The sequence below is a fragment of the Homo sapiens genome, chromosome 19, assembly GCF_000001405.40.
Source record: "Homo sapiens chromosome 19, GRCh38.p14 Primary Assembly".
Classification (NCBI taxonomy): domain Eukaryota; kingdom Metazoa; phylum Chordata; class Mammalia; order Primates; family Hominidae; genus Homo; species Homo sapiens.
The window spans coordinates 36,009,093-36,033,219 of NC_000019.10; the positions used below are offsets into that span (position 1 = coordinate 36,009,093).

At 53.7% G+C, this 24,127-nt stretch overlaps 2 protein-coding genes and 1 long non-coding RNA gene across 10 annotated transcripts in view, besides 1 other annotated feature; 1 reads left to right on the forward strand and 2 right to left on the reverse strand.

Moving 5' to 3' along the window:
• Positions 28 to 5,147, reverse strand: ALKBH6 (alkB homolog 6). 6 transcript variants are annotated; one of them, NM_001297701.2, is made up of 8 exons: positions 5,083 to 5,121; positions 4,422 to 4,496; positions 4,252 to 4,330; positions 3,929 to 3,997; positions 2,312 to 2,372; positions 1,802 to 1,953; positions 1,475 to 1,591; positions 28 to 461 (listed from the first exon to the last, which is right to left on the reverse strand). In NM_001297701.2, the coding sequence occupies exons 3-8, from the start codon at positions 4,303 to 4,305 to the stop codon at positions 198 to 200; spliced, it is 717 nt and encodes a 238-aa protein (NP_001284630.1). In that variant the 5' UTR covers positions 4,306 to 4,330; positions 4,422 to 4,496; positions 5,083 to 5,121; the 3' UTR covers positions 28 to 197. The 6 variants fall into 6 exon arrangements, with proteins under 6 accessions (NP_001284630.1, NP_116267.4, NP_001372985.1 ...); NM_032878.5 differs by lacking the exon at positions 4,422 to 4,496; NM_001386056.1 differs by lacking the exon at positions 4,422 to 4,496 and having other exon boundaries at positions 1,802 to 1,985.
• A 262-nt stretch (positions 5,148 to 5,409) lies between these two features.
• LOC101927572 (uncharacterized) overlaps positions 5,410 to 24,127 on the forward strand; it is a 36,616-nt gene continuing 17,898 nt past the window's right edge. For both annotated transcript variants that reach the window (NR_170988.1, NR_170987.1), the window contains exons 1-3: positions 5,410 to 5,494; positions 7,720 to 7,868; positions 10,142 to 10,292. This is a non-coding gene — a long non-coding RNA (uncharacterized LOC101927572). The remainder of the gene's footprint in view (positions 5,495 to 7,719; positions 7,869 to 10,141; positions 10,293 to 24,127) is intronic.
• Positions 5,511 to 5,610: an enhancer, noted in NCBI's record as "active region_14514". NCBI's record gives its function as "activates an Ori minimal core promoter by ATAC-STARR-seq in GM12878 lymphoblastoid cells {active_cell/tissue: GM12878}" and the evidence as "EXISTENCE:reporter gene assay evidence [ECO:0000049][PMID:35858748]".
• CLIP3 (CAP-Gly domain containing linker protein 3) lies at positions 5,568 to 23,781 on the reverse strand. Of its 2 annotated transcripts, NM_015526.3 has the most exons (14): positions 23,632 to 23,781; positions 23,100 to 23,323; positions 18,040 to 18,179; positions 17,860 to 17,953; positions 17,494 to 17,655; positions 17,055 to 17,173; positions 15,304 to 15,540; positions 10,079 to 10,214; positions 9,806 to 9,934; positions 8,756 to 8,899; positions 8,563 to 8,686; positions 8,294 to 8,358; positions 7,815 to 7,887; positions 5,568 to 7,120 (listed from the first exon to the last, which is right to left on the reverse strand). In NM_015526.3, exons 2-14 carry the CDS (start codon positions 23,263 to 23,265, stop codon positions 7,066 to 7,068), a joined length of 1,644 nt encoding a protein of 547 aa, NP_056341.1. In that variant the 5' UTR covers positions 23,266 to 23,323; positions 23,632 to 23,781; the 3' UTR covers positions 5,568 to 7,065. The 2 variants fall into 2 exon arrangements, with proteins under 2 accessions (NP_056341.1, NP_001186499.1); NM_001199570.2 differs by lacking the exon at positions 23,632 to 23,781 and having other exon boundaries at positions 23,100 to 23,543.

Here is a 24,127-nt window from a genome sequence, read left to right on the forward strand (position 1 = left end):
CCTAAAAAATAAAAATATAAAACCAAGGAAAGATTTTTTTGTTTATTTGGTATGGGGTCTTCTGTAGCTCACACAAAATTATTGGGAAAATAAATAACCCAGGGGAGCCCCCTTTGCCCACGGTTCCTAGGTCGCGGAGTCACAGCAGCCCCAAAGGGGCAGGAACCTGGGAATCCGAGGGGTCCCGGCCCTGGCGGTCACTTGCCCAGCAGGAGGCCGGCGCGCAGCACGCGGGGCACGCGGCGGATGGTCAGCGAGACCCGGGTGCCGCGCACCAGGCAGGCTCCCGGCCGCGCCGACGGGCAGGCTGCCGCATTGGGCGGCGAGGAGGCGGCGTCCAGCGCGTCTACGCGGGCGGCGGCGATGCCGTGGAGAAGACGCGTGTAGGCGGGGCCGCGGAGCACCAGCAGGCTGCGCGGTTCCAGCAGTAGCGAGGTGGTGGGCCGGGGCGGAGGCCGAGGCTGCAGGGCGGGTTGAGGGTCAGCAGGGCTCAAGAAGTCGGGGGGTGGGGGTGGGCGAGAGGTCGGTAGCCTCCGGGGATCAGCTAGTCCCCAGGGGCAAAAGCTGAAGAGCAAGTGTGCTCACAATGATGGAGGCTTTGGTGGTTCAGGAGTGAAAATTGCTGGGGCCTGGGCTGGGGCTGCTGGAAAGGGAGGGCGAGGGCTCTGCCGTCCCTCGGGAGGGGGCAGGATCTAGGTGGCAGATGGGGGCGTCAAAGGGTCAGCGGCCGGTGGGAGCTGCAGCTGGGATCTCAAAGGGGCTGAGGCTGGGGCTGGGACCCAGGAATAGGCAGTCCCCAGGAAATACAGGCAGAGCTGGGCTGAGAGAGCATGGCTGAAGCCAGGACCAGGTGAGGAGAGAGTGAGGCAGAGGTTAGAGGCAGTGGGGGTTCCCAAGGACATCAGGACATTAGAGGACAACCGCACAGCTGAGGGAGTGTCAGAGCATCCAGGAGCATGCAGGGCTCGAGGGCAAGCCTCAAGGAGTGGGTCGGCGTGTTCAGGGGCGTTTCTGTGAACACTGGGGTGCTAGAAATGCATCACTCAGAGAAATTGTGTCAAGGGGTCAAGGAGAATCTGGGGGTGTCCTGCACCCCAAATCACATTCCTGGAGTAGCAGGACGTCTGGGGCACCCTGAGCAGGGGCAGATAGAGCATCTGGGAGGAGGTGAGGCCCCCCGAGTTAATGGCGGTGGGGTATCTAAGGATATCAGTGTCTGCTGGGGAGTCAGGGGTATCCATTCAGCAGGTTGGGGCATCGGGGAGCCTGTGAAAATCATGGCATGTGGGACAGACACCCTGTAAGCAGATGGGTTGGGTGTCTGGGAGGAAGTGGGTACACCCCATGAGGGGACAAGGGAAGGTATCTGGGAGAGTGCCAGGAGTACCCCGAAGGCATGTGGGACCAGGTCATCTTGGAGGATGTGCGAGGTTGAAGTGCCTACAAGCAGCTGGGGCAGTGTCTGGGGGCCCACCTGTTCTGTAGGGTCATCGTCCTCTGGCCGCCGCGGCTCGTAGAAGTCCAGCACGGTGTGGGAGCCCAGGCTGATGGTGCTGACAGTCGGGTAGTACAGTGGTCCGTCCTCGTGGGGCTAGGGAGTGGGCACCAGGGCTGGGCAGGGCAGGAGTCCACAACCCCCACCCTCTGGGTCAAAGGGGGGCTTCCCAAGCCAGGGACAGGGAGGTGAATGCCTGTTTGGGAGATGTGGCTGCCTAATGAGTGAGGGTGGGTACAGAGTCCCCTGCCCCAGCACAGCTCAGAAGTCTGAGTGGGGGGACACGGGCCGAGGGTGTGTGGTTACCATGATGCCCTCCCCAGGCAGATACTGGTTCACGAGGACATGGTTAGCTGGGAGGCCTCCAAAGAGGCTGAGGTTTGACACTTTGTCCACGTAGCGCTGGAGCCATGGGGGCAGCCGCTCAGGAACCATCCCTCGGGGATGAGGAAGCCCACCTGGGGAAGGCAATGGGGTCCTGAGGGCCCCCCTATAGCAATAGATCCCCCATTAGGGATTCCACAGTGGCTGGAAGCACCCTGATCCTCTCAGGGACCCCTGACCGTTTGGAGATAGCCACTGGGTCCTTCAGAGGTTTCCTCACTTCTCCAGACCACAGGTCCCTTTCAGATACTCCCAACTCATCAGGAAATCCCTAATCCCTCAGGACCTCCACTGACCCCTTCAGAATCCTCCTGGCTCTTGGGGCCCCTTGAGCTGTCAGGGACCCTCTGATGTCTTAAGTCTATTGGACCTGAGTCCCCTGCCCCAGCCTACATCCCAGAATCACTCCTGCCCCCAGCCAGGGATACTTACCCCAGTTCTGTAACTTTCTCCCAGAGAGCTGGGTCCACTTTGGCTTTGGGGCATTAAAAACCTAAGAGGTGGGAAGGGGGTCACTCCTTTCTCAGGATCACCCCTCTATGATCCTCCCACCTAGACCAACATAGGGGCCTTTACCTCCGGGATGGAAATGGGTCATCTGTGTCTGTGGGACCATTCCCTGGGGCGGTGGGTTCCTAGGATTTTGTGGTTTGCCTTTTTTCCTGGGAACGCCTTTGGCCCCAAAGCCCACCTGTGTCTACCAGGATTTAGGAATCAGGGCTGCACAACCGTGGTCTGAGAGTTGTGGGTCTCACAATCTACTCAGAGTTCTGGGGCTGGACAGGGCTCTTTCAGCCCAGCAAATAGTCTGCATTCTAATTTCCTGATTCCGTGCCAAACCTGGTTGCTCATGCCTGTAATCCCAGCACTTTGGGAGGCCGAGGCGGGCAGATCACTTGAGGTCAGGAGCTCGAGACCAGCCTGGCCAACATGGGGAAACCCCGTCTCTACTAAAAATACAAAACTTAGCTGGGCATGGTGGCATGCACCTGTAATCCCAGCTACTTGGGAGGATGAGACAGGAGAATCGCTTGAACCTGGGAGGCGGTGTGGTGTCACACGCCTGCAATCCAAGCTACTCAGGAGACTGAAACACAAGAATCAGTTGAACCCAGGAGGCGGAGGCTACAGTGAACCGAGATCACGCCACTGCAGTCCAGCCTGGGCGACAGAGCAAGATTGTCTCAAAAAACAAACAAACAAAAATTCCTGATTCCTGGGCTCTCTGAGGACAGTTTGAGTTCTGCAACCGACTTGTTCCTATTGCCTGGGGGAGGGAGTATGCAAAGCTGGGCTATCTCAGCACAGCAAAGAAAGTACTTTGAAAATCTTCCACTGCCAAGATCCTAATGATCTAGAATGGGCTATCTCAGTCCAACAAGTCTAGCTCTAGTTGATAATCTACTCATTCCCTTCATGGTTATGGAGCTGTACTGGGCTATTTCAGCCCAGGAATTCTATAATATGTAGATTTTTCAATGCCAAGAACGCAAAGGTCTGGAATGGGCTATCTCAGCAAAAAAGTCTGTGTTCTGTAGCTAATTTTTTCCTGGACTCAAGATCAGTGGGTTACTCCAACACAGGGAAGATCTGTGCTCTGTAACTTAGGCACTGGGGCTGCAAAGGGCAGGAACTCTGAGCTTTGAAAATTCTTCTTTCCCCAAACCTTAAGAACAGAATGCAGACTGGGCCATCTCAGCGTAGATGGTCTGTATTTGGTAACCTTATTGTGCTCTGGGTCTATGCTGGGCTATTTTAGCACAGGAAAGAGTTTACTGGGCTATCTCAGCACAGAAATCTGAATACAAAATTCTTTACTCCCCAGTCTCAATGATCTGAACTGGGCTATCTCAGCCTATGTTTATAACCCCCTATTCTCTAAGCTAGCAGGATTGGGCTATCTCAGTAGAGGGAGTATGAGCTCTGTAACTTCCTTGTTCCTTCTGTCGGGGTCTTCACTGCAGCCTTGGGGGCTCTCATACAGAGGATGGACATTGGGGAGGAATATGGGAAGAGTGGGAAAACAGACCAGTAGGGCACTGAGGTCACCTGTCGAAGCAAATACTCCTCCTCTTCTTTGGAGATGAAGTCAGGGACATAGTAGATTACAGGTGGTGCCTAGGATAGAAAGACCCCCTGAAGGTGTGGCCCTTCAACCCACACAGAGGACATATCATCACAGAGCAACCCCTATGCCTGGAGACAGGCTCAGGATGTCCTCAGACAGGTCAGGGTCTAAAGTCAAGGGACCAGTGCCATTCCAGAATGGACTCTGACAGTAAGAATGAATTTGGTGGAAGGGGGCAGTCCCAACCCAAGAACTCAGGAATCAGCCTGCCTCCTTCACCCTCTGCACCCTGAGTTCTGACAACCTGCTCCACTCTGAACGGTTCCAGGGCTGGGACTCTGGCGTCCTGCTCCTCCATCAACACCAACTCCTTGCACCCAATCCTGTAGGGAGGGGAGGACATACTGAAGTCACTAGGCCTCCCGCCCTAACACCATGATGCAGCATTCCACCCCATCACAGGCCAGGCCTCACCTCAGCCCTCTTCTGAAACGCACTTGGTCTCTAAAATCTGAGTCTTCAGCATCTTACAAGCCACACAGAGAGCCCCTACGTTCCATGCCCGGACACAATGAGCCCCAAGAATAATCCCCCATTACTCTGTCCACTAAGGGCCCATCCAACTACACATATGCCTTCTCAATCCTCCCACAGAGAACATTCTCTGGCCCCACACACAGGGAGCCTTTCTCAAAAGCTCTACACATAGCCCCCAGGGCTGCACTCCAGAGCCCCTTTAAACACCTTGAGACCCCGCTTCAGACCTGCAACTGTGAGCCCGGCTATCAACACTCAGCGACCCCCGCCCCCCACCGAATCCCATTCTGTGCACTCCTGTGACCCCAATCTGAGCCTCCTCAGACATGTCCACCCTCAGCCTCCTCGGATCCCCCCATTTGGACGCCCCTCGGATTTCCCCTCCTGAGCGCCCCTTCACTCCAGCACCCTGAGATCTTTAGCTCTGAGGCTGACTCCCAAATCTTCTTCCCTCCCTGAACCATTCAGATCCCCGACTCCGAGCCTTTTAGGACTCCAAGCTCTGAGCCTCCTCGGACTCCTACTCTGGGCTCCCCCGGATCCCCACTTTCAGCCCTATTGACATCCATCTCTACCCCCAGCACTCCCCAAAACTGACCGTCCACCAGCGTCCCCTCCAATTTCCAAATTCAACATCCCCATCCCCCTCCCAGCCATTTCCGCCCCACATTACAGACGCAGAGTCCGCAGGCCAATGGGAGCTCCCAGAGGCTTCAAGGGCCCGCCTTCCACCCAATCGGCGCTCTCACTCAGTATTCGCCCGCCCCCTTCATGCTCGCCTAAGGATAGGCCGCGCCTCCTGGCCTCTGAGCCATTGGCAGGAGGGCGTGGGCGGGGCATCGTCGTCTGGCACTGGCCACTCAGAACTTAGGAACTGAACCTGGCCATTGGCGGAGTGGACCCCGATGGGTGGGACGGGGGCGGCAGCCGTGACAGCCGCGGGAAGACATGAGAGGCTGCTAGAAGGACTTCCCGCGGCCAGCGCCATCACCTGCCCACGCCGCAGGGAGGTGAGACTGAAGGAAGCACTTCCTTTCCCGTCTTCTCCCAGCAAGGGAAACCCCCAATGACCCGACACAGAGAGGCCATAGAAACGTCTTTATTGAAGAGGACAGGAGTCATGCTGAGTTTGGGGACATGCAGTGAAGGGGCAGTCGTGAGCTGTCCTTGGTGGTCGGGGCCCCAGGTCCGCCCTGGACCCCCTGGGCCTTCAGGTTCTCCCTCGAGCTGTTGGTCTGGCCCAGGTGCTGTGGGGTCCTTTGAGGCCAGTGACTAGAACGTAGATTGAAATCGGGGTTCCAGGATTTGAGATCCCCTCAGGGCCTTGGGGCCTTCCATTTATTAGAGATGGAGGCTTTAGGATTTGGGGTTCCCTTAGGGCTGGGGCTCTTGGAATTTGGTGTCTTGAAACCCATGGACTCGGGGCATTGAAATTCTCCAGTTTCCAGGGATGGGAATTCCTGTGTGGGGTTTCCTGGTGCCTGTGAATAGGGCTTGAGGTGTCTGGGAGCCTGGAATGCATATCCTGACTGCAGTCTCCTCCATACCAGGCACAAGGACCTCATGATTGGGTTTCCTGGGGACTTGGGATTGGATTTTCAAATTTGGGATTCCCTGGGGATTTGGGATTCCATGATTTGGGGGTCCTAGGAGTTACGGCATTGGGGTCTTCTAGGGGCTGTAGGACTTGAGGGCACAGGGGAGTTTGGGACGTGTGTACTCTAGGGTTTGGGATCCCCAGAGTCCTAGAATGGGGCCTCCAAATTTTGGGGTCCCCCAAAGGGGGAAGTCGTTACTTAAAAAATAGAGAATTTTCTGGGAGTCTGGCCAGCACAGGAGCTGTGGGCCATGTGGGGTGGGCTTCATACAAGGCACTGGGGGTTTCTTGAGGGTGCAGAGGGTAGGAAGACTTGGGGGGTCCTGTAATTAGCACTTCCAGGACTGTTTTGGTGTCTGTAAATTAGGGGTGACAGTGGGCTGGTTATGGTGGGTTTCTTCTTGAGGGATAAGAACAAGGGTCTTTGTTAATGAAGGAAGTCTCTGATTGAGGGGTTGGAATCTAAGGGCTTCAGGGTGACCATGGGGTCACGACATCTTGAGAGGACTGATGTTAAATGGGGAACAATGACATGAATGTCTGTTACTCTTTTGCTTTGGGGGTGTGACCTATGTTTATTTCAAGAGGACTTAAGGGGCAGTGTTTGTTAATGGGGAGGTTTCTGATCCAGGGTTGGGTGATTCAAGAATGTTCTGTTGTAATGCATTATGTGGAGAGGGTCACCATCATTTGGGGTGATATGGAAATCTGTTAATCTGGGAATCTGCTCTGAGGGGTTGGGGATAGGGACTAGCCTGAAGGTGCTACTCAGGGAATCTCTTTCTGGGTGACATGGGGTCTGTATTTGGGGGTTATTATGGGAGTATCTGTTAATAATGGGGCCTCAATGATCGAGGGCTGGCTAACAGGGGTCTCTACTCTGGATGTGTTACTGGGAATCTCTATCTCAGGGTGACTCAGGGCTCCTCGGGTGTCAGGAGATGCTAGTGGGGACTCTGTCTCTTTGTCAGGTGTCCAGGGCCTCTAAGACTGCATCTCCGCCCTCAGCATCCAGGGGAACCAGCAGCAGAACAGCAACCTGGAAAGGAGGATGACAGGGTCACGCCCTTAGGCAGGCAGCGGGGACATCTGCACCCATCACCCCCAGCCTTTCCCCCAGTGTTTGCTATCAGGCCTTTCTGGATTCTGCCTCTACCTCTCTGGCTGTGGTTTGTTTGTTTGTTTGTTTTCTGAGATGGAGTCTCACTCTGTCACCCAGGCTGGAGTGCCATGGCACGATCTCGGCTCACTGCAACCTCTGCCTCCCAGGTTCAAGCAATTCTCCTGTCTCAGCCTCCCGAGTAGCTGGGACTACAGGTGTATGCCATTGTGTCCGGCTAACTTTTGTGTTTTTGGTAGAGACGGGGTTTCACCATGTTGGCCAGGCTGGTCTTGAACTCCTGACCTCAGGTGATCCGCCTGCCTTGGCCTCCCAAAGTGCTGGGATTAAAGGCATGAGCCACCCCGCCCGGTCTCTAGCTGTTGTTCTGAGGCTCGTATGGAGTGAAGGGTGTTCTGCTTCCTTTACCGGCCCACCCGAAAGTGGAATTCACTAGAATTCAGTGCGGGGCCCTACACCCTAAAGACTGTTTCTGGGTATGCTTACAAGTCACAAGTTTTCCTAACCTCTCTTTCCAGCCCTGACCAGAGCTCCAGACCTCTGGGTCCAACTGCCTTATGGATCCCTCTCCCTGAATGTCACATAGGAGAGGGGACAGGGGTTGGCCACACACCTGGAAATGGAGTTCTCTGATGCAATGTCCTTTGGGGTCCGGACTGTGGTGAAGGTGCGTTTGGGCTGCGTCACTGAAGAGGAGGGCAGGATGTCAAGTGAGGGGATGACAGACCACCTGTGTCCTCAATACCCATCCAGACCCCTTCTCATTAATACCTCCCCATGTCTCCAGTCCCCACCTGGATCCTACATTCCCAATACCCATCTGGGCCTCTTGTCCATAATTCCCACCATGTCCCCCAGTGACTATCCCTGTCCCCAGTATCTGCTCAACCTCATGTCCCCGAAGAGCCTTGTTGCTAATTTCCTCATATCCTCTAGCACCTATCTTTTTGTGGACCTTGTCTCATCATTTTCCTGGACCCTGTGTCCCCAATTAAATACCAGAGACTGTCACCAGTATATACCTGAGAACCCATGACCCTTCCTCCCATCCCCAAACGTACACTCCTCCCAACATATCATCCCCTAACTCACTTGTCACTTGATGCACTTTTTTGGCTCCAACGCTGTCCCCGGGGGAATCAGTGGATCCGCCAATCCTGAGGAGACACGGGGAGGGGGAGAAGTCAGAGCCACAAAAGGCCAGGGTCTGACTGAGAGCTGGGCCCCAGGGATCTATGAGGAAAGGGCTGGGGGCTCGGGGGTGTCCACACTGTCCTGCTGGTCTGGGAGGAGGAGGCCATCTGAGGGGGGATCAGGGCTCCAGGTGGTGCCCTGGGTTTGGGCTGGAAGTTTGGGCTCACCTCTGAATACGGGATGCTGGTGCGAAGACCCCATGCCTCGGGGGGCAAGTGAAGTACCGGACACCGAAGACAGAGCCATCATGCTTGCCTGTGGGCTGGTCCAGCTCAATGCCATACCAGTAACCTGCAGCACGAGGGTGTCAGGATTTCTCAAGGCCCTGCCTGCCTCCCGGCCCAGAGTCCCCATCCTCACCTGGGGCAAAGTCTGTCTTCCCGTAGAAGCGCACGATCCCCTGCTTCTGGCCCGCGACAAGGACCTGGTCTCCAACCTCAGCCTTGGCCCCGTCACGCTGCTGCAAGCTGCCCAGAGATGGGGATGATGGGGTCTTCTTCTTGCCTAAGGGTAGAAGGTGTAGGAGGTGGGTAGTGGGGCTGAGGCCAGCTTTGGGAACCTCGTGCCACCTGGAAAACCCCAAGGTAGAAAACCCTGTTCTTCGTTTGAAGTGAAACTGAATCCCAGATGCCAGAGAATTAGGAAGGGGCTTTAGGCCTGAAGGGAAACTGAGTCAGAGAACCTGAAGAACCCCAAAATCCTTTCTCAAAGCTGAGGATATGTTGGATAAGGAAAAGCTGAGTCAGAAGTCAGGAACCCAGAAACTGTCCTTTTAAAATGAAGGGAAAATTGGGTCCGAGAGTAAATCAGGCCATGTGCAGTGGCGCAGGCCTGTAATCCCAACATTTTGAGAGGCCGAGGCGGGCAGATCACTTGAGGTCAGGAGTTTGAGACCAGCCTGGCCAACATGGCAAAACCCTGTCTCTACAGAAAAAAATACAAACATTAGCCAGATGTGGTGGTGGGCACCTGTAATCCCAGCTACTCGGGAGGCTGAGGCACGAGAATTGCTTGAACCCGGGAGGCGGAGGTTGCGGTGAGCCAAGATCGTGCCACCACGCTCCAGCCTGGGCAACAAGGCGAGACTCTTGACTCAAAAAAAAAAAAAAAAAAAAGTAGATCAAATGACAAAAGACAGGATCTCCAAGGATTCTTCCCTAAAACTGGGGGAGACCTTTGGGTCTGAGAGGAAACTAAGTCACAGAGGGCAGGGAACCCACAGGTCCTTCTAAGAACTAGGGGGTGCCAGTACTGAGCCAAAGGGGAAACTGAGTCACAGAAGTCAGGAACTCAGAGCTTGTCTTCCAAAACTGGAGTTTGGGCCTGAGGAGAAACTGAGTCACAGAAGCTGAGCTACCCACACAACATCCCCAAACTGGCTCTTCCCACCACAGGGATCCCCTCTCTGACCTTTGTGTTCCCTGCGGCCTTTGCCGGTGACACGGGAGAAGTCCATCCGGGGGGTCCGGGGTGTGGAGGTGACAGAGGAGGGGGGTGCGTCCACTGCCTTGGAGATCTTGGACACGGAGGCAAAGAGACCTAGGGGTACAGAATCCGAGCCTGGTGTTGTCCAAGCCTCTGCCCTCGGCCCCCATCCTCCATCCCCTATTTCCCAGTCAGCAGCATCAGAACTGCCGAGTGGACACCCAGCCACACCCCTCTTGGGCCCGAGGTCGGACTAACCCTGCTTGGGAGGGCAGATGAAGTACCGAACGCCCCCAACGCTGCCATCGTTCTTGCCCTCAGGTTCGTCCAGCTCCACGCCCACCCACTGGCCGCTGGCAAACTCCGTGGTCCCACAGAACCGCAGTGTGCCCGTCTGGGGAGAGAAGGGAGGCGATGGCTAAGGAAGGAATGCTGGGAGGCCAACGTGGAGTGCCCACACACGGGCAGCAAGGTGGGTTGCATGAGGCCGCCCTGGGCCCAAACCCCAGGTCACACATCACCATTTGCTGGCTACATGACTTAACCTCTGTGTGCCTCAACTTCCTTTGCTGTGAAATGGGAACAGAAATTATACTCACCTTATAGGATTGTTAAAGAGTTGCCCTGTCTCATATAGTGAATAGTGACTAGCCACATAGGACAATGTAAATTTATTTATTTATTTATTTTATTTATTTTTTTTTTTTTCGAGACAGCGTCTCACTCTGTTGCCAGGCTCGAGTGCAGTGGCACGATCTCGGCTCACTGCAAATTCCACTTCCTGGGTTCAAGCAATTCTCCCATCTCAGCCTCCCAAGTAGCTGGGACTACAGGTGCATGCCACCACGCCTGGCTAATTTTTGTATTTTTAGTAGAGACGGGGCTTCGCCATGTTGGCCAGGCTGGTCTCGAATTCCTGACCTCAGGTGATCCACCCGCCTCGGCCTCCCAAAGTGCTGGGATCACAGGCATGAGCCACCATGCCTGGCCAACAATTTAAATTTAAACTAAGGCCGGGTGTGGTGGCTCATGCCTATAATCCCAACACTTTGGGATGCCAAGGCTGGAGGATCACTTGAGGCCAGGAGTTTCAGACCAGCCTGGGTGAAAATGGCGAGACCCTCTAATCTTAATCTGTTCCAAAAAACAAAGACAGCAAGACCCTATTCTCTATAAAAGAAAGAAAAAAGGTAACCAGGTGCAGTAGCTCAAGCCTGTTGTCCCAGTTACTTGGGAGGCTGAGGTGGGAGGATCGCTTGAGCCCAGGAGTTCAAGGGTGCAGTGAGCTATGATGGTGCCACTGCACTCCAGCCTGGGCAACAAGCAAGACCCTGTCTCAAAAATAAATAAATACATACCTTAGAAAGAAGACTCAGATGATTTTTAAATTTAAAAATAAATAAATTTAGTCCGGGCGCGGTGGCTCACACCTATAATCCTAGCACTCTGGGAGGCCGAGGTGGGAGGATCACCTGAGGTCAGGAGTTCAAGACCAGCCTGGCCAACATGGTGAAACCCCCATCTCTACTAAAAATACAAAAATTAACCAGGCATGATGGTGCACGCCTGTAATCCCAGCTACTCGGGAGGCTGAGGCAGGAGAATTGCTTGAACCCAGGAGGGTTGCAGTGAGCCCAGATAGCACCACTGCACTCCAGCCTGAGCAACAGAGCAAGACTCTGTCTCAAGAAAAAATATAAATAAATAAAAATACAAATCAATACATTTAAACTAAATTAAAAATGCATTTCCCCAGTCACACTAGCCATATTTCAAGTGCTCAATTGTCACATGTAGCTTGTAGCTACTTTACTGGACAGCACAGACAGAATATTTCCACCATTACAGAAAGCTCTGTTGGACAGGGCTGTTATAGAGAAATTAAAGCCCTCAGAACAGGGCTTGGTATTAAGTAAAGGATCAGCAAGTATTCGTTATTGAAATTTTTTTTCTATTTTAGAGACAGGGTCTCACTCTGTGGCCCAGGCTGGAGTGCAGTGGTGCAATCATAGCTCAGTGTAACCTTGAACTCCTGGGTTCAAGCAATCTTCCCTCCTCAGTCTCCCGAGTAGCTGGGACTACAGGTGAACGCCACCAAAGCCTGGCTAATTAAAACAACAACAACAACAACAAACTTTTGTTAAAAATAGAAATGGAGTATCCCTATGTTGCCCAGGTTAGTTTCAAACTCCTGGCCTCAAGCGATCCTCCCCATCTTGGCCTCCCAAAGTGCTGGGATTACAGGTGTGAAGCCACTGTGCTCAGCCTGTTAGCTATTATCATGCTGTAACTTTGGTCAGGGGACTTATTGAGCCTCAGTTTCATCTGTAAAATAGAGATAGTAAGCCACCTCATGGAGTGATCATCTGGCGGAAACTTTTTTTTTTTTTAGACAGGGTCTCACTTTGTTGCCCATGCCAGGGGTGCAGTGGCACGACCCTGGCACAGTGCAGCCTCAAACTCCTGGGCACAAGTGATCCTCTCACTTCAGCCTCCCAAGTAGCTAGGACTACAGGTGTGCGCCACCATGCCTGATTAATTTTTTCATTATTAGTAGAGATGAGGTCTCACCATGTTGATTGCCCAGGCTGGTCTTGAACTCCTGGGCTCAAGCGATCCTCTCACTTCAGCCTCCCAAGTAGCTAGGACTATAGGTGTGTGCCACCATGCCTGGTTAATTTTTTCATTTTTAGTAGAGATGAGGTCTCACTATGTTGCCCAGGCTGGTCTCGAATTCCTGGGCTCAAGCGATCCTTCTGCCTCAGCCTCCCAAAGTGCTGGGATTACAGGCATGAGCCACCACATTTGGCGGAAACATTTTTAACACATGTAAACTTGCTTAGCTGCAGTGAGACTTTAGTGAGTGTGGTTATTATCATTATGGGAGGCTCATTCACCTCTCCATGCCTCAGTTCCTGGTCCATATAATAGGCTAATTAATTAGTGCTGATCTTTTTTTATTTTTATTTATTTATTTTTTTTTGGAGACGGAGTCTCACACTTTGGCCCAGGCTGGAGTGCAGTGGCATGATCTTGGCTCACTGCAAGCTCCGCCTCCTGGGTTCATGCCATTCTCCTGCCTCAGCCTCCTGAGTAGCTGGGACTACAGGCACCTGCCACCATGCCTGGCTAATTTTTTGTATTTTTTTTGTAGAGACGAGGTTTCACCGGGTTAGCCAGGATGGTCTCGATCTCCTGACCTCGTGATCCGCCCACCTCTGCCTCCCAAAGTGCTGGGATTACAGGCGTGAGGCACCGCGCCCCGACAATTAGTGCTGATCTTAAGAGTGTTGGTGGAGGGACTAGAACAGTGCCTGGCACACACAAAGAGCATTTAGTATGCGCTGGACTCTGTTCTAATGGCCTTACGCATTTTAATTAATTTAAACCTCAACCAGCCCCCTAAGGTGGTTACTATTATTATCTCCATTTACGGATGAAGACATTGACACCCAAAGAGGCAGAATCACTGGCTCCAGGTCCACAGGTGGGAAGTTGCAAAGCTGAGATTTACCTGGGCAAGTCCCTGAGCCTGAGTTCATGACGCTGTGCTATGCTGCTTCTCTAAGGGGCAGTGATTAGTATTCCGTGTCTTCAGATAAAGGTTTTCACCTGTTGGAGCCTCTTATAGTCTGGCTTGTAAAATGGGAAGAGTCAACCCAACCTTCCTTCTGAATTGTGCAATGGATATGATTAGATCGTGCACAGCAGAATGCTTTCTGGATGGGGCCGGGCGCAGTGGCTTATGCCTGTAATCCCAGCACTTTGGGAGCCAAGGCGGGCGAATCGCTTGAGGGCAGGAGTTTGAGACCAGCCTGGCCAATATGGTGAAACCCGTTGCTACTAAAAATAAAAATAAAAGGCCAGGCGCGGTGGCTCACGCCTGTAATCCCAGCACTTTGGGAGGCTGAGGCGGGCGGATCACGAGGTCAGGAGATCAAGACCATCCTGGCTAACACAGTGACACCCTCTCTCTACTAAAAATACAAATAATTAGCCAGGCATGGTGGTGGGCACCTGTAGTCCCAGCTACTCGGGAGGCTGAGGCAGGAGAATGGCATGAACCCAGGAGGCAGAGCTTGCAGTGAGCTGAGATCGCGCCACCGCACTCCAGCCTAGGCGACAGAGCAAGACTCCATCTCAAAATAATAATAATAATAATCATAATAATAAAAATAAACCCAGGCTTGTTGGCACACACTTGTAATCCCAGCTACGTGGGAGGCTAAGACATGAGAATAGCTTGAATCTGGGAGGTGGAGGTTGCTGTGAGCCAAGATCGTGCCACTGCACTCTGGCCTGGGTGACAGCAAGACCCTGTCTCAAAAACACAAAAACAAAATTCAAACTCCTTCCAGTAGCCTACAGGTCTGCTGTGACCCAGCCTTGCTGACCTCTCCACCTCACCGCCCTTCCCATAACTCCCCTCGTCAACACTGCCCCTTCCTGCCTCTGGGTCTCCATACCTACTGCATCCTCTGCTTCCTTATCTTTGCAAAGGAAGTTCTTTCCTATCTCAGTTTGGACATCACCTCCTCAGAGAAGCCTTCTCAGAACACCCCAGCTAAAACCACTCCAGCATTCAGCCAGGGACAATTTACTAAATCCAAACATGTAATGGTGTTGACAGCCCTTGTTGCTACCAGAAATTACCTTTTTTTTTTTTTTTCAATAGAGGCAGGATCTCACTATGTTGCCCAGGCTGGTCTCTAACAACTCCTGACCTCAAGTGATCCTCCCACCTCGGCCTCCCAAAATGCCGGGATTAGAGGTGTGAACTACCGTGCCCAGCCCAGAAATCATCTCAACCATAGGTTTACTTTCTTGACTGTCTCCCCTTCATTACAAGTGGAGCCCCATGACAGCAGGGCGGGGGCAGACACAGCCCTCCCTCCCTAAGGACAGACTGGGTCCCGTATGGAGCCCAAGGGACACCGGGAAATGAGTGAAATTGGAGTCCCTGGATAAATGAAGATTCTCTCTGCCCTCTCAGCTGTGATACCCGCTCCCCCAAGCTGAGACTCCTTTCTCCCTTTCTTTCCCTGGCTTGCTCCTCCACATCTGCAATTTGGGTACATTCCCCATCACACCCCAATCACTCTGGCCTGGACTTGCCTAGCCAGACTTGTCTCTGAGAGCAGAGGGGCCTGATCGAGGACCACAAGACCCGGGGGGAGCCACAGGTGCACAGAGCTGCGCAGATCACTCTGCTCACCCCTCCCCATGGCAGCCATGACCACTCTCGGCCGTCACTGTCAGATGACGGGTTGTTTCCCACCCTGGATGGAGAGCTCAGCACAGGGTGAGGCTCAAAGGAGACACCCACGGAACAACTGAGATAAAATCAAGTACTGGGTGGATAGTTAGGGCGGCAAGTAGACAAAGGGCAGGGACTGCACTCTGCCCGAGGACGCAGCTCCAAGGGATTAAGGGGCTGAGTCCCACCCCCACCCACCATGCAAACACACATCCCAGCCCCTGACCTTCTGGCCATCCAGCAGCACGCGGTCTCCCAGGCGCAAGCCCAGTGCGCTAAGCATGAGATTGCCTGGGACGTTGTCATAGTTGGGTAGCGTGACCTTGGGGAGGGCGCAAGATAGTGGCACTGCCTCTTCCAGAAGCGTCCGCAGCTCCTTGGCCACCAGTGCCGCCTCTGCCTTGTCCAGGGACATGTCCATAGGATCTGGGACCACCTCCGCCGGCACCTGTCCTTTTCGATTCTGGGGGCCAATGGGAAAAGAAGGCAGGGACTCAGTGGCACAGGTCACACCCCCATGGAGGCCCTGCCCCTAGAGACCACCAGTCTGGGTGATGCAGGGGTAAGACTAGGTCATATCCTGGGCCAACCTGGGAATAAGAAGGGTCAGGGCAAGGCGGGGTAAGGTGGCTCACGCCTGTAATCCCAGTACGTTGTGAGGCCGAGGCAGGCAGATGCTTGAGGTCAGGAGTTCAAGACCAGCCTGGCCAACATGGTGAAACCTCGTCTGTACTAAAAATACAAAAATTAGCCGGGTGTGGTGGCGTGTGCCTGTAATCCCAGCTACTCGGGAGGCTGAGGCAGGAGAATCGCTTGAATCCGGGAAGCAGAGGTTGCAGTGAGCCAAGATCATGCTACTGCACTCCAGCCTGGGTGACAGAGCGAGACTCCGTCTCAAAAAAAAAAAAAAAGAAGGGGCAGGGCAGAAAGGTGCAGACCACATCCCCAGGGAAACCCACCCCTGAGACCCAGGGCTGGGGGTGTGTCAAGTAATTGAGGGTGGGCCTGGGGGTGTAGGCAGTAGGGATGAGGGCCACACTTCAGTGCTGTAGGTCACGCCCTCAGGGAGGCAATCTCTGGAGACCCCAAGCCTGTAATGAGGACATGTGGGAGATGAACATTGAGAATGGGCTCCTGTGGGCTGGGTGCAGTGGCTTATGCTTATAATCCTAGCAATTTGTGAGGCCGAGGTGGGCAGATCACCTGAGGTCAGGAGCTCGAGACCAGCCTGGCCAACATGGTGAAACTCCATCTCTACTAAAAATACAAAAATTAGCCGGGTGTGGTGGCGCATGCCTATAATTCTACCTACTCGGGAGGCTGAGGCAGGAGAATCGTTTGAACCTGGTAGGCAGAGGTTGCAGTGAGCCGAGATTGCACCACTGCACTCCAGCCTGGATGACAGAGCCAGTCTCTGTCTCAAAAAAAAAAAAAAAAAATTAGAGAGAGTGAGAGTGGGCTCCTGTGGTATAGAGTCAGGAGTCAAACTCTGGGCCAGTGGAAAATGGGGAGAGGCAGGGTCTCAGGGGCACAGGCCATGTTACCCCAACATACATGTGCCTGGACGGCTGCAGGGTAATTAGCATTGTGGATGGAGCCTGGTAATGCATAGGTCAGAGGTCAAAGATCATATTGAGGGCTTAGGAGAGGACCAACCCTCTCATTCACAGAAGGCCTAGCCCAACTTTCCTCATGACCTTGAAATGCTGTTATGCACTGCCATGGGATAGGCTGGATGACCCTGGGCAGATCCCTTAATCTCTGCCTCAGTTTCCCCATTGTAAAACAAGGCTTATAATAGACTTCACCTGACATGTAATGAACACTAGGCATATTTCAGCTGTTATTGCATTTGCTGAATGTACAGACGGCATTTGTAGTATTTGGGGAGTCACGGGAAACGCAGAGACCTGCTGGAGGGAAGTGGGGGAGGAAGGGAGCAGGAGGGTAACGGGTTCTGGGCAAGGGTGGCAGTACCCTCAGCGCAGGGTTGGCGCCGTGCTCCAGCAAACATTTGGCGGCGCCCAGGCACAGGCTGGAAGCAGCGATGTGCAGGGCTGAGCCGTGGTTGAAGTCACTGCACGTGGAGTTCACCACTGGAAGTGGGCAAGAGGAGGGGTTCCGGGTGAGCGCCTGTGGGACCCCAGCCCTCCTCCCACCTCGGGGCTCATCTCTTAACTTGCAGGTCCCAGAGCCTCCGACGCAGAGCCCCGCCCCCACCTCGGAGCCCCCCTCTCCCTTGGCAGCCCCGACCCTCCCTAGAGTGGTAGTCCCTGAGCCCCCTCTCCCACGCCTCCAACCTCCCGCTATCTCCTCAGATCACCGTCCTCCTTCCCCTCGCAGCCTGGCCTCACCTGGGTCTCCGCGTCCCTCACCCAGGTCCTTGCCCCCTCCCAGCCAGGGCTCTCCTCCTCACCTCGCGGCCTCGCACCCTTCAGCAGCACACGCACGAGGTCGGGCACATCAAAATAGGCCGCGTAGTGAAGCGCGTTCATGTTGGTCCAGCGGCTGCGCAGCGTCACATCTGCGCCCAGCGCCAGCAGCTGCTGCGAGAGGCGCACGGCTGCCGCGGGGTCCCCTGCGCGATAGGCCGGGTCAGCTTGGAACCCCCATTCCAGAGCATGGGCCCAGTGCACGGGGAGGACCCTGGGCTTCAGGGACTATACTTTGGGATCCGAAGCTTCGGGTTCCAGATGGGGCCTGAGTTCTGGGTGGTTTTCAGCGTGTTGGGTCTGGGGGCCTAGGCTTTGGGGCTTATGACTTGGGGGTAGGGGGCCCTCACCGACTCCGTGGGCCCCAGCTTTGCACGCATAGTGGAGCAGTGTCATGTCGGTCAGCCCGTCACGATCGTTCACATGGCAGCCTCGGCGCAGAATCTGTGAGTACCAGGGGAGCAGGGAGGGTCACCCACACATGTGGGGAACCGCATCCCCTCTCCCCCTGGTTTCCCCAGTGTTCTCACCTCATTGCCGATGACGTCTATCTTGTGCTGGACTTGGGGCACCCACTGGCGCACAATGGCAAACAGCTCGGGGATGGTGGTCTGAGGGTCAAACAGGATCTCCTGGCACGCCGGGTCATTGGGATCGAAGAAGGTGAAAGCTGGGGTGGCAAGAGGTCCAAGGTCACCCCACGCAACTGACCCCCTCCTTCCAGCCTCAGTAGGGGAGCTGTAGGTCTTTGCCTTTTAGAGCCTCTAATGCAGGGTCTCAAGCTGGTGGCACATGGGCCACAGTCAACCCACAGGCATTTTCTGTGTGGCCAGCATGAGGTTTCAAACTCAGGTGGGTTCACATAAAAATCTCGATGCCCAGTGTGTCTTGAAAAGTTGGAAGATCAGGCAATTCCCATATAGCAGCAAACTCCACCCCCTGAAACAAAAGCCTGACAGAGAGTGCAGTACCTTGGAGTCTGCATGTCCAGGGGGACTGCTACTGACCTCACCCACTGTTGCCCTGTGAGAGTATGAGTGAAGTTTGGCTGAATCTCCAGAGCAAAAATAAATAAAGCCAGAAGTCCTGGTTTTTAATAAAACTCTCTCAATTGTTTCAAATACCATGCAGTCCACATCAAATGTATCCATGACTGGGCACAGTGGTTCACATCTGTAATCCCAATGCGTTGGGAGGCTGAGGCAGGAGGATTGCTTGAGCCCATAAGTTCAAGACCAGCCTGGGCAACATAGCAAGACCCCTGTCTTTACAAAAAGTTTTAAAATTAGCCAGGTGTGGTGGTGCGCATTGGTGCTACTCAAGGAGATTGAGACAGGAGGATTGCTTGAGCCCAGGAGTTCAAGGCTGCAGTGAGCCATGATTGTGCCACTACACGCCAGCCTGGGCAACAGAGCAAGACCCTGACTCTGGAAATATAAAAAATAAAAATAGAGGCTGTGCGCGGTGGCTCACGCCTGTAATCCCAGCACTTTTGGAGGCCGGGGCGGGCGGATCACCTCAGGTCAGGAGTTCGAGACCAGCCTGGTCCAACGTGGTGAAACCCTGACTCTACCAAAAATACAAAAATTAGCCAGGCGTGGTGGTGGGCGCCGGTAATCCCAGCTGCTCGGGAGGCTGAGGCAGGAGAATCACTTGAACTCAGGAGGCAAAGGCTGCAGTGAGCTGAGATGGCGCCGCTGCACTCCAGCCTGGGTGACAGAGAGTGAGACTCCATCTCAAAAAAAGTAAATAAATAAATAAAAATGAAAATAAAATAAAATGTATCCATGAGCAGGAATCAACCTGTGCCCAGCCAGGGTGGTGCCTAGAGGCACTTCTGTCTCTTCCCACTCGACTCTAAGGAGTACTGCTCTCTGTGACGTCAGCACCCAGCACAGGGCCCTGGCACGTGGCAGGAACTCAGTGCGTGGTGAATGAACGACTACATGAATGATCAGATTATACACAGCCCAGGGAAGTGCCACATAGAAGGTGTCTCCAGGAATCAGCCGGCATGCTCCTTTTAGAACTGCAGTCACATCATAGCCCTTCTTGGCTTAGAACCCTCCTCCAGCTCCCAACCCATCCAGAGTACAGACCAAAGTCTTCCCCACGGCCCTCAGGGCTCTGCACATCCAGCCCCTCAGTTCTCAGCCCTCTCCCCTCACTTATTCCCCTTCCCTCATTTCCCACACTGGGCTCCCTCTGTCCCTCCCACGTGCCAAGCAAATTCTTGTCTCAGGGTCTTGGCACTTGCTGTTCTTCTCACTCAGGATAGACTTCCCACACATCTTCACAAAGCTTTATAAATCTTTGCTCAAATGTCATCTCCTCAGAGAGGCCTTCCCAAACCACACTGTCTAAATCGGCACCCGCCCTTCTCCATCTCCTACTCTTTTTTTTTTTTTTTTTTTTTTTTTTTTTAGAGATAGGGTCTTGGCTGGGCATGGTGGCTCACGCCTGGAATCCCAGCACTTTGGGAGGCCAAGGCTGGCAGATCATGAGGTCAGCAGTTCGAGACCAGCCTGACCAACATGGTGAAACTCCATCTCTACTAAAAATACAAAAATTAACTGGGCGTGGTGGTGAGTGCCTGTAATCCCAGCTACTCAGGAGGCTGAGGCAGGAGAATCGCTTGAACTCGGAAGGCAGAGGTTGCAGTGGGCCAAGATTGCACCATTGCACTCCAGCCTGGAGTCCGTCTCAAAAAAAAAAAAAAAAATAGGGTCTGTTGGAATGCAATAGTATGATCATAGCTCACTACAGCCTTGAACTCCTGGGTTCAAGTGATCCTCCTGCTTCAGCCTCCCTGGTAGCTAGGACTACAGTATACATCACCATGCCCAGCAATTTTTTTTTTTTTTGTAGTGACAACGTTTTGCTATGTTGCCCAGGCTGGTCTCGAACTCCTGGGCTCAAGTGATCCTCCCACTTTGGCTTCCCAAAGCACTGAAATTACAGGTGTGAGCCACCATGCCCAGCCCTTTATTTATTTATTTATTTTTATCATAGCTCATATCACTACTTGACATGTTTACTCCTCTTTCTCCCTCCTTCATTTCCTCTCTTCTTCCCTCACTAGGATCTAAATGCTATGATTCTATTCTGCCTCATTCACTCCTTTATCCCCAAGGCCAGGCACAGCACATGGCACACAGTAGGTGCTCAGTCAATCTCTGTTGAATTAATGTACAAATTTAACAGATACATGATTTCCTCTTGGAGTCCACCTTAGCCTTCTCCCTGTCCTCGACCACATTTCCAGATTTCTTCACATTCTGGGACAAAACCTCTCCCGCTCTACAAGCAAGACTGCTTGGAGGGCTCAGCCTATACCCTCCGACCTCCCACTGAGTCAGAGGCCCCAGCCACCTCCAGCTGCATTTCCAAAGGAGATTTTCCAGTTTTCTGAGGTACAGCACCCCCCCGACCTCAGGCCCCAGATAACTTCCTTTTACTTTTTTCTTTTTTTGAGACAGGGTCTCACTGTGTCACCCAAGCTGGAGTGCAGTGGTGCAATCCTAGCTTACTGCAGCATCGAATTCTCAGGCTCAAGTGATCCTCCCACCTCAGCCTCTGGAGTAGCTGGGACTACAGGTACCCACCATGCCTGGCTAATTTCTAAATTTTCTGTACAGATGGGGTCTTGCTCCATTGCCCAGGCTGATCTCGAACTCCTGGCCTCAAGCAATCCTCCCACCTTGGCCTCCTAGAGTGCTAGGATTATAAGCCAGAACCACTGTGCCTAGCCAACTTTCTTATTTTTCTATTAGACTGAAGTCAACTTGTAGTCTCCCTGATCTACCTCTAGTGGGTGACATGTCCATGGATGCCATCTGTCTTGCTCTATCCTGGCAACGCTGACTCTCTGAACCTGGTTTCTGAACCTCACAGCTGCCGGGGATTCCCAGCCTGCATATCTTCCAAATTCCCCTCCTACATCCAACTCTGGCTGCACTCCATCCCCTTCTACCCAGTACCCAGAGGGAGCTTTCAAACTACAAATCAGACCTGCCACTCCTCTGCTCTTAAACACCCTCCCCTTGCCACTCTTCTCCCCTGTCCCACTTAGAATATAACCAAAGTCCTCACTGTAGCCTTGAAGGCCCTTCCAGATCTGGCCTATGCCAACCTCTCACCTCAACCTCGATCATTCCCTGAATGCAGCTCCAGGATCTTTCTGTTCCAAGTTCAATTCTGCCTCAGGGCCTTTGCACTTGCTGCTGTCTGCCTGGAACACTCTTTTTCCAGCTCTCTTATGGCTGATTCCTCCCCATGCTCTGGGTCCCAAACTAAATGTTACCTACTCAGAAAGAGCAGCCCTGACTACCCCTGCAGGTAGCTGCCCCCTAGTCATTATCGTATCTCCACCTTTAATTTCTTTTTCTTTTTTCTTTTTTTCTTTTCTTTTTTTTTTTTTTCTTTTTTTTTTTTTTTTTTGAGACAGTCTTACTCTGTCACTCAGGCTGGAGTGTAGTGGCTCGATCTTGGGCAACCTCTGCCTCCCAGGTTCAAGCGATTCTACTGCCTCAGCCTCCCGAGTGGCTGGGATTACAGACATATGCCACTATACCCAGCCAATTTTTGTATTTTTAGTAGAGATGGGGTTTCACCATGTTGGCCATGGCTGGTCTCAAACTCCTGACCTCAGGTGATCCGCTGGCCTCAGCCTCCCAAAGTGCTGGGATTACAGGCGTGAGACACCATGCCCAGCCCACCTTTTCTTTCTTTCATAGCACTTGCTCCAATCTGAATTTATCTGATTTCTGATTTATTTATCTGTTCACTTGTTTAGTCTCTCCTTCTCTCCTGCAAGGGAGGATCATGCCTGGATCACTTAGGATTAAATCTCCGGCACCCAGCATAAGGCTTGTCACAGAGTAGCAGCACTCGATAAATATCGCTCGGTCAATGATTAGACACTTTCAGTTTCTCCAAGAGGCCGCCCTCTCAGCTCCATACCCTCCTACCTCAGATCCTTTACCCAGCGGTTACCTCTCCTGGGAGCCCTTTCCCCTGACCCTTCTCTTAGTTAACCCCAACTCACCCTCCAGTCTTCTCAACTGTAACCTCCTCAGGGAAACAATGTCTTAAAAAACTCTTGCAGCAGCTTGTTTATGGTAAATACAATTTTCATAATGTCTTGTAATTACATATTTATATTACATTATATTTTTCTTTCTTGCATATAAACCTAAATGTGAAAAATTACATTATGGTTTAATACCTATTTGTGTGGCTGTTACTGAGGCCTGTGAGTTGTCTCAGGGCAAAGACTGGGTCTCTCTTGCCCCCTGCTGTGGCCCCAGCCCCTAGCATAAAGCCAGGTCCACAGCCGCTTTCAAAAAATGATTGTTGAATGACTAAATGATGGAATGATGTGTCATGAGTCAAAGACTAGGAGTATTACAATTCCATTCTCCAATGGGTGAATGAATGAATTAACGAGGGGTGCTCTGCAGCCAAGATTCCTCTGGACCACCTTCAAATTCCCCAGAATTCTCCCACCATCACCACCAGCAGAGCACAGCCCACCCTCCCCGGCCACCCAACGCTCCAGGCCAGATTCCAGGGTGGGGACAGTGGTTACCGTAGTCCTTAGGGAGGGGGGCAGGTGCCGAGGGGTGCACAACAGGCTTCTGCCGGCGCTCCTGGGTGGGGCTGGGGGCCTCGGGGACGGGTTCATCCTCCTCCTCCTCTTCTTCCTCCTCTCCTCGGGGTGGCGGGGCCATCGGGGCAGGATCTGTCTTAGTCATGGTCCTCGGTGGCCCTCGGGGGGCGGGTGCAGAGTTGGGGGCAGCCTTCAGGCAAATCCTGGAGGCAGAGGTCAGCTGGAGAGGGTGCCCGGCAGGCTCCAGGGTCCAAGCCCCTAGGAGCTTCCAGGGCCCCGGGTGGCCTCCGCGCAACTGGATCTTGGGCAACCATAGGGACCCCCGTTACCCATAGAGGGCCCCGGTGTGTGCGCCCAGCGCCTGCCACCTCCCCCAGGCCCAGCCCCCCATTCTTCTCCTCCCGCGTCAGGCCCCTCAGTCGCGGCTGCCCCCTCCCCGGGTTTGTTTATCTCGGGATTCAGGATGCTTCGCCCCTCCCCTTCTCCGCGGGCCGCCCCCTCCCCATCTTACCTCGGGCAGACAGCGCTGGGGACCAAAGTGGAGACTGGGGAGACTGTGGGAGCAATGGGGTGTCGGTGTCAGGGGACGTGATGGGGGAGGCAAGGGAGACAGAGAGAAGGGGACGAGGCCCAGACGCCGACAGGGGGTGGGGGCGGAGAGGGAGGGGCGCGACTGCGCATGCGCCTGCTGCCCCCCTACCGGCGGCGGGGGAGGAGGGACCAGGAGGAGGGACCGGGAGGCGCTCGCATTGATGGAGGGGCCAGAGGCGGCGACTGAAAGGGGAGAGCCTCCGGGCACTGGGAGAGGAAGAGATGGCTACGGAAAGGAGCGAGATGAGCAGATACAACGGCAAAAGAGAGGGCTGAGAGAGCGGACACAGATCTTCTCCATCCCCTTCCCCCACGCCTGCAAACCAGGCCGGTGAGGGCAGTGGTCTTGGGGCGTGGTGACGATGGGGACCCTCTAGGGGACCCTCTCTCTAGGACCCTAGACCGGACCCCTTCTC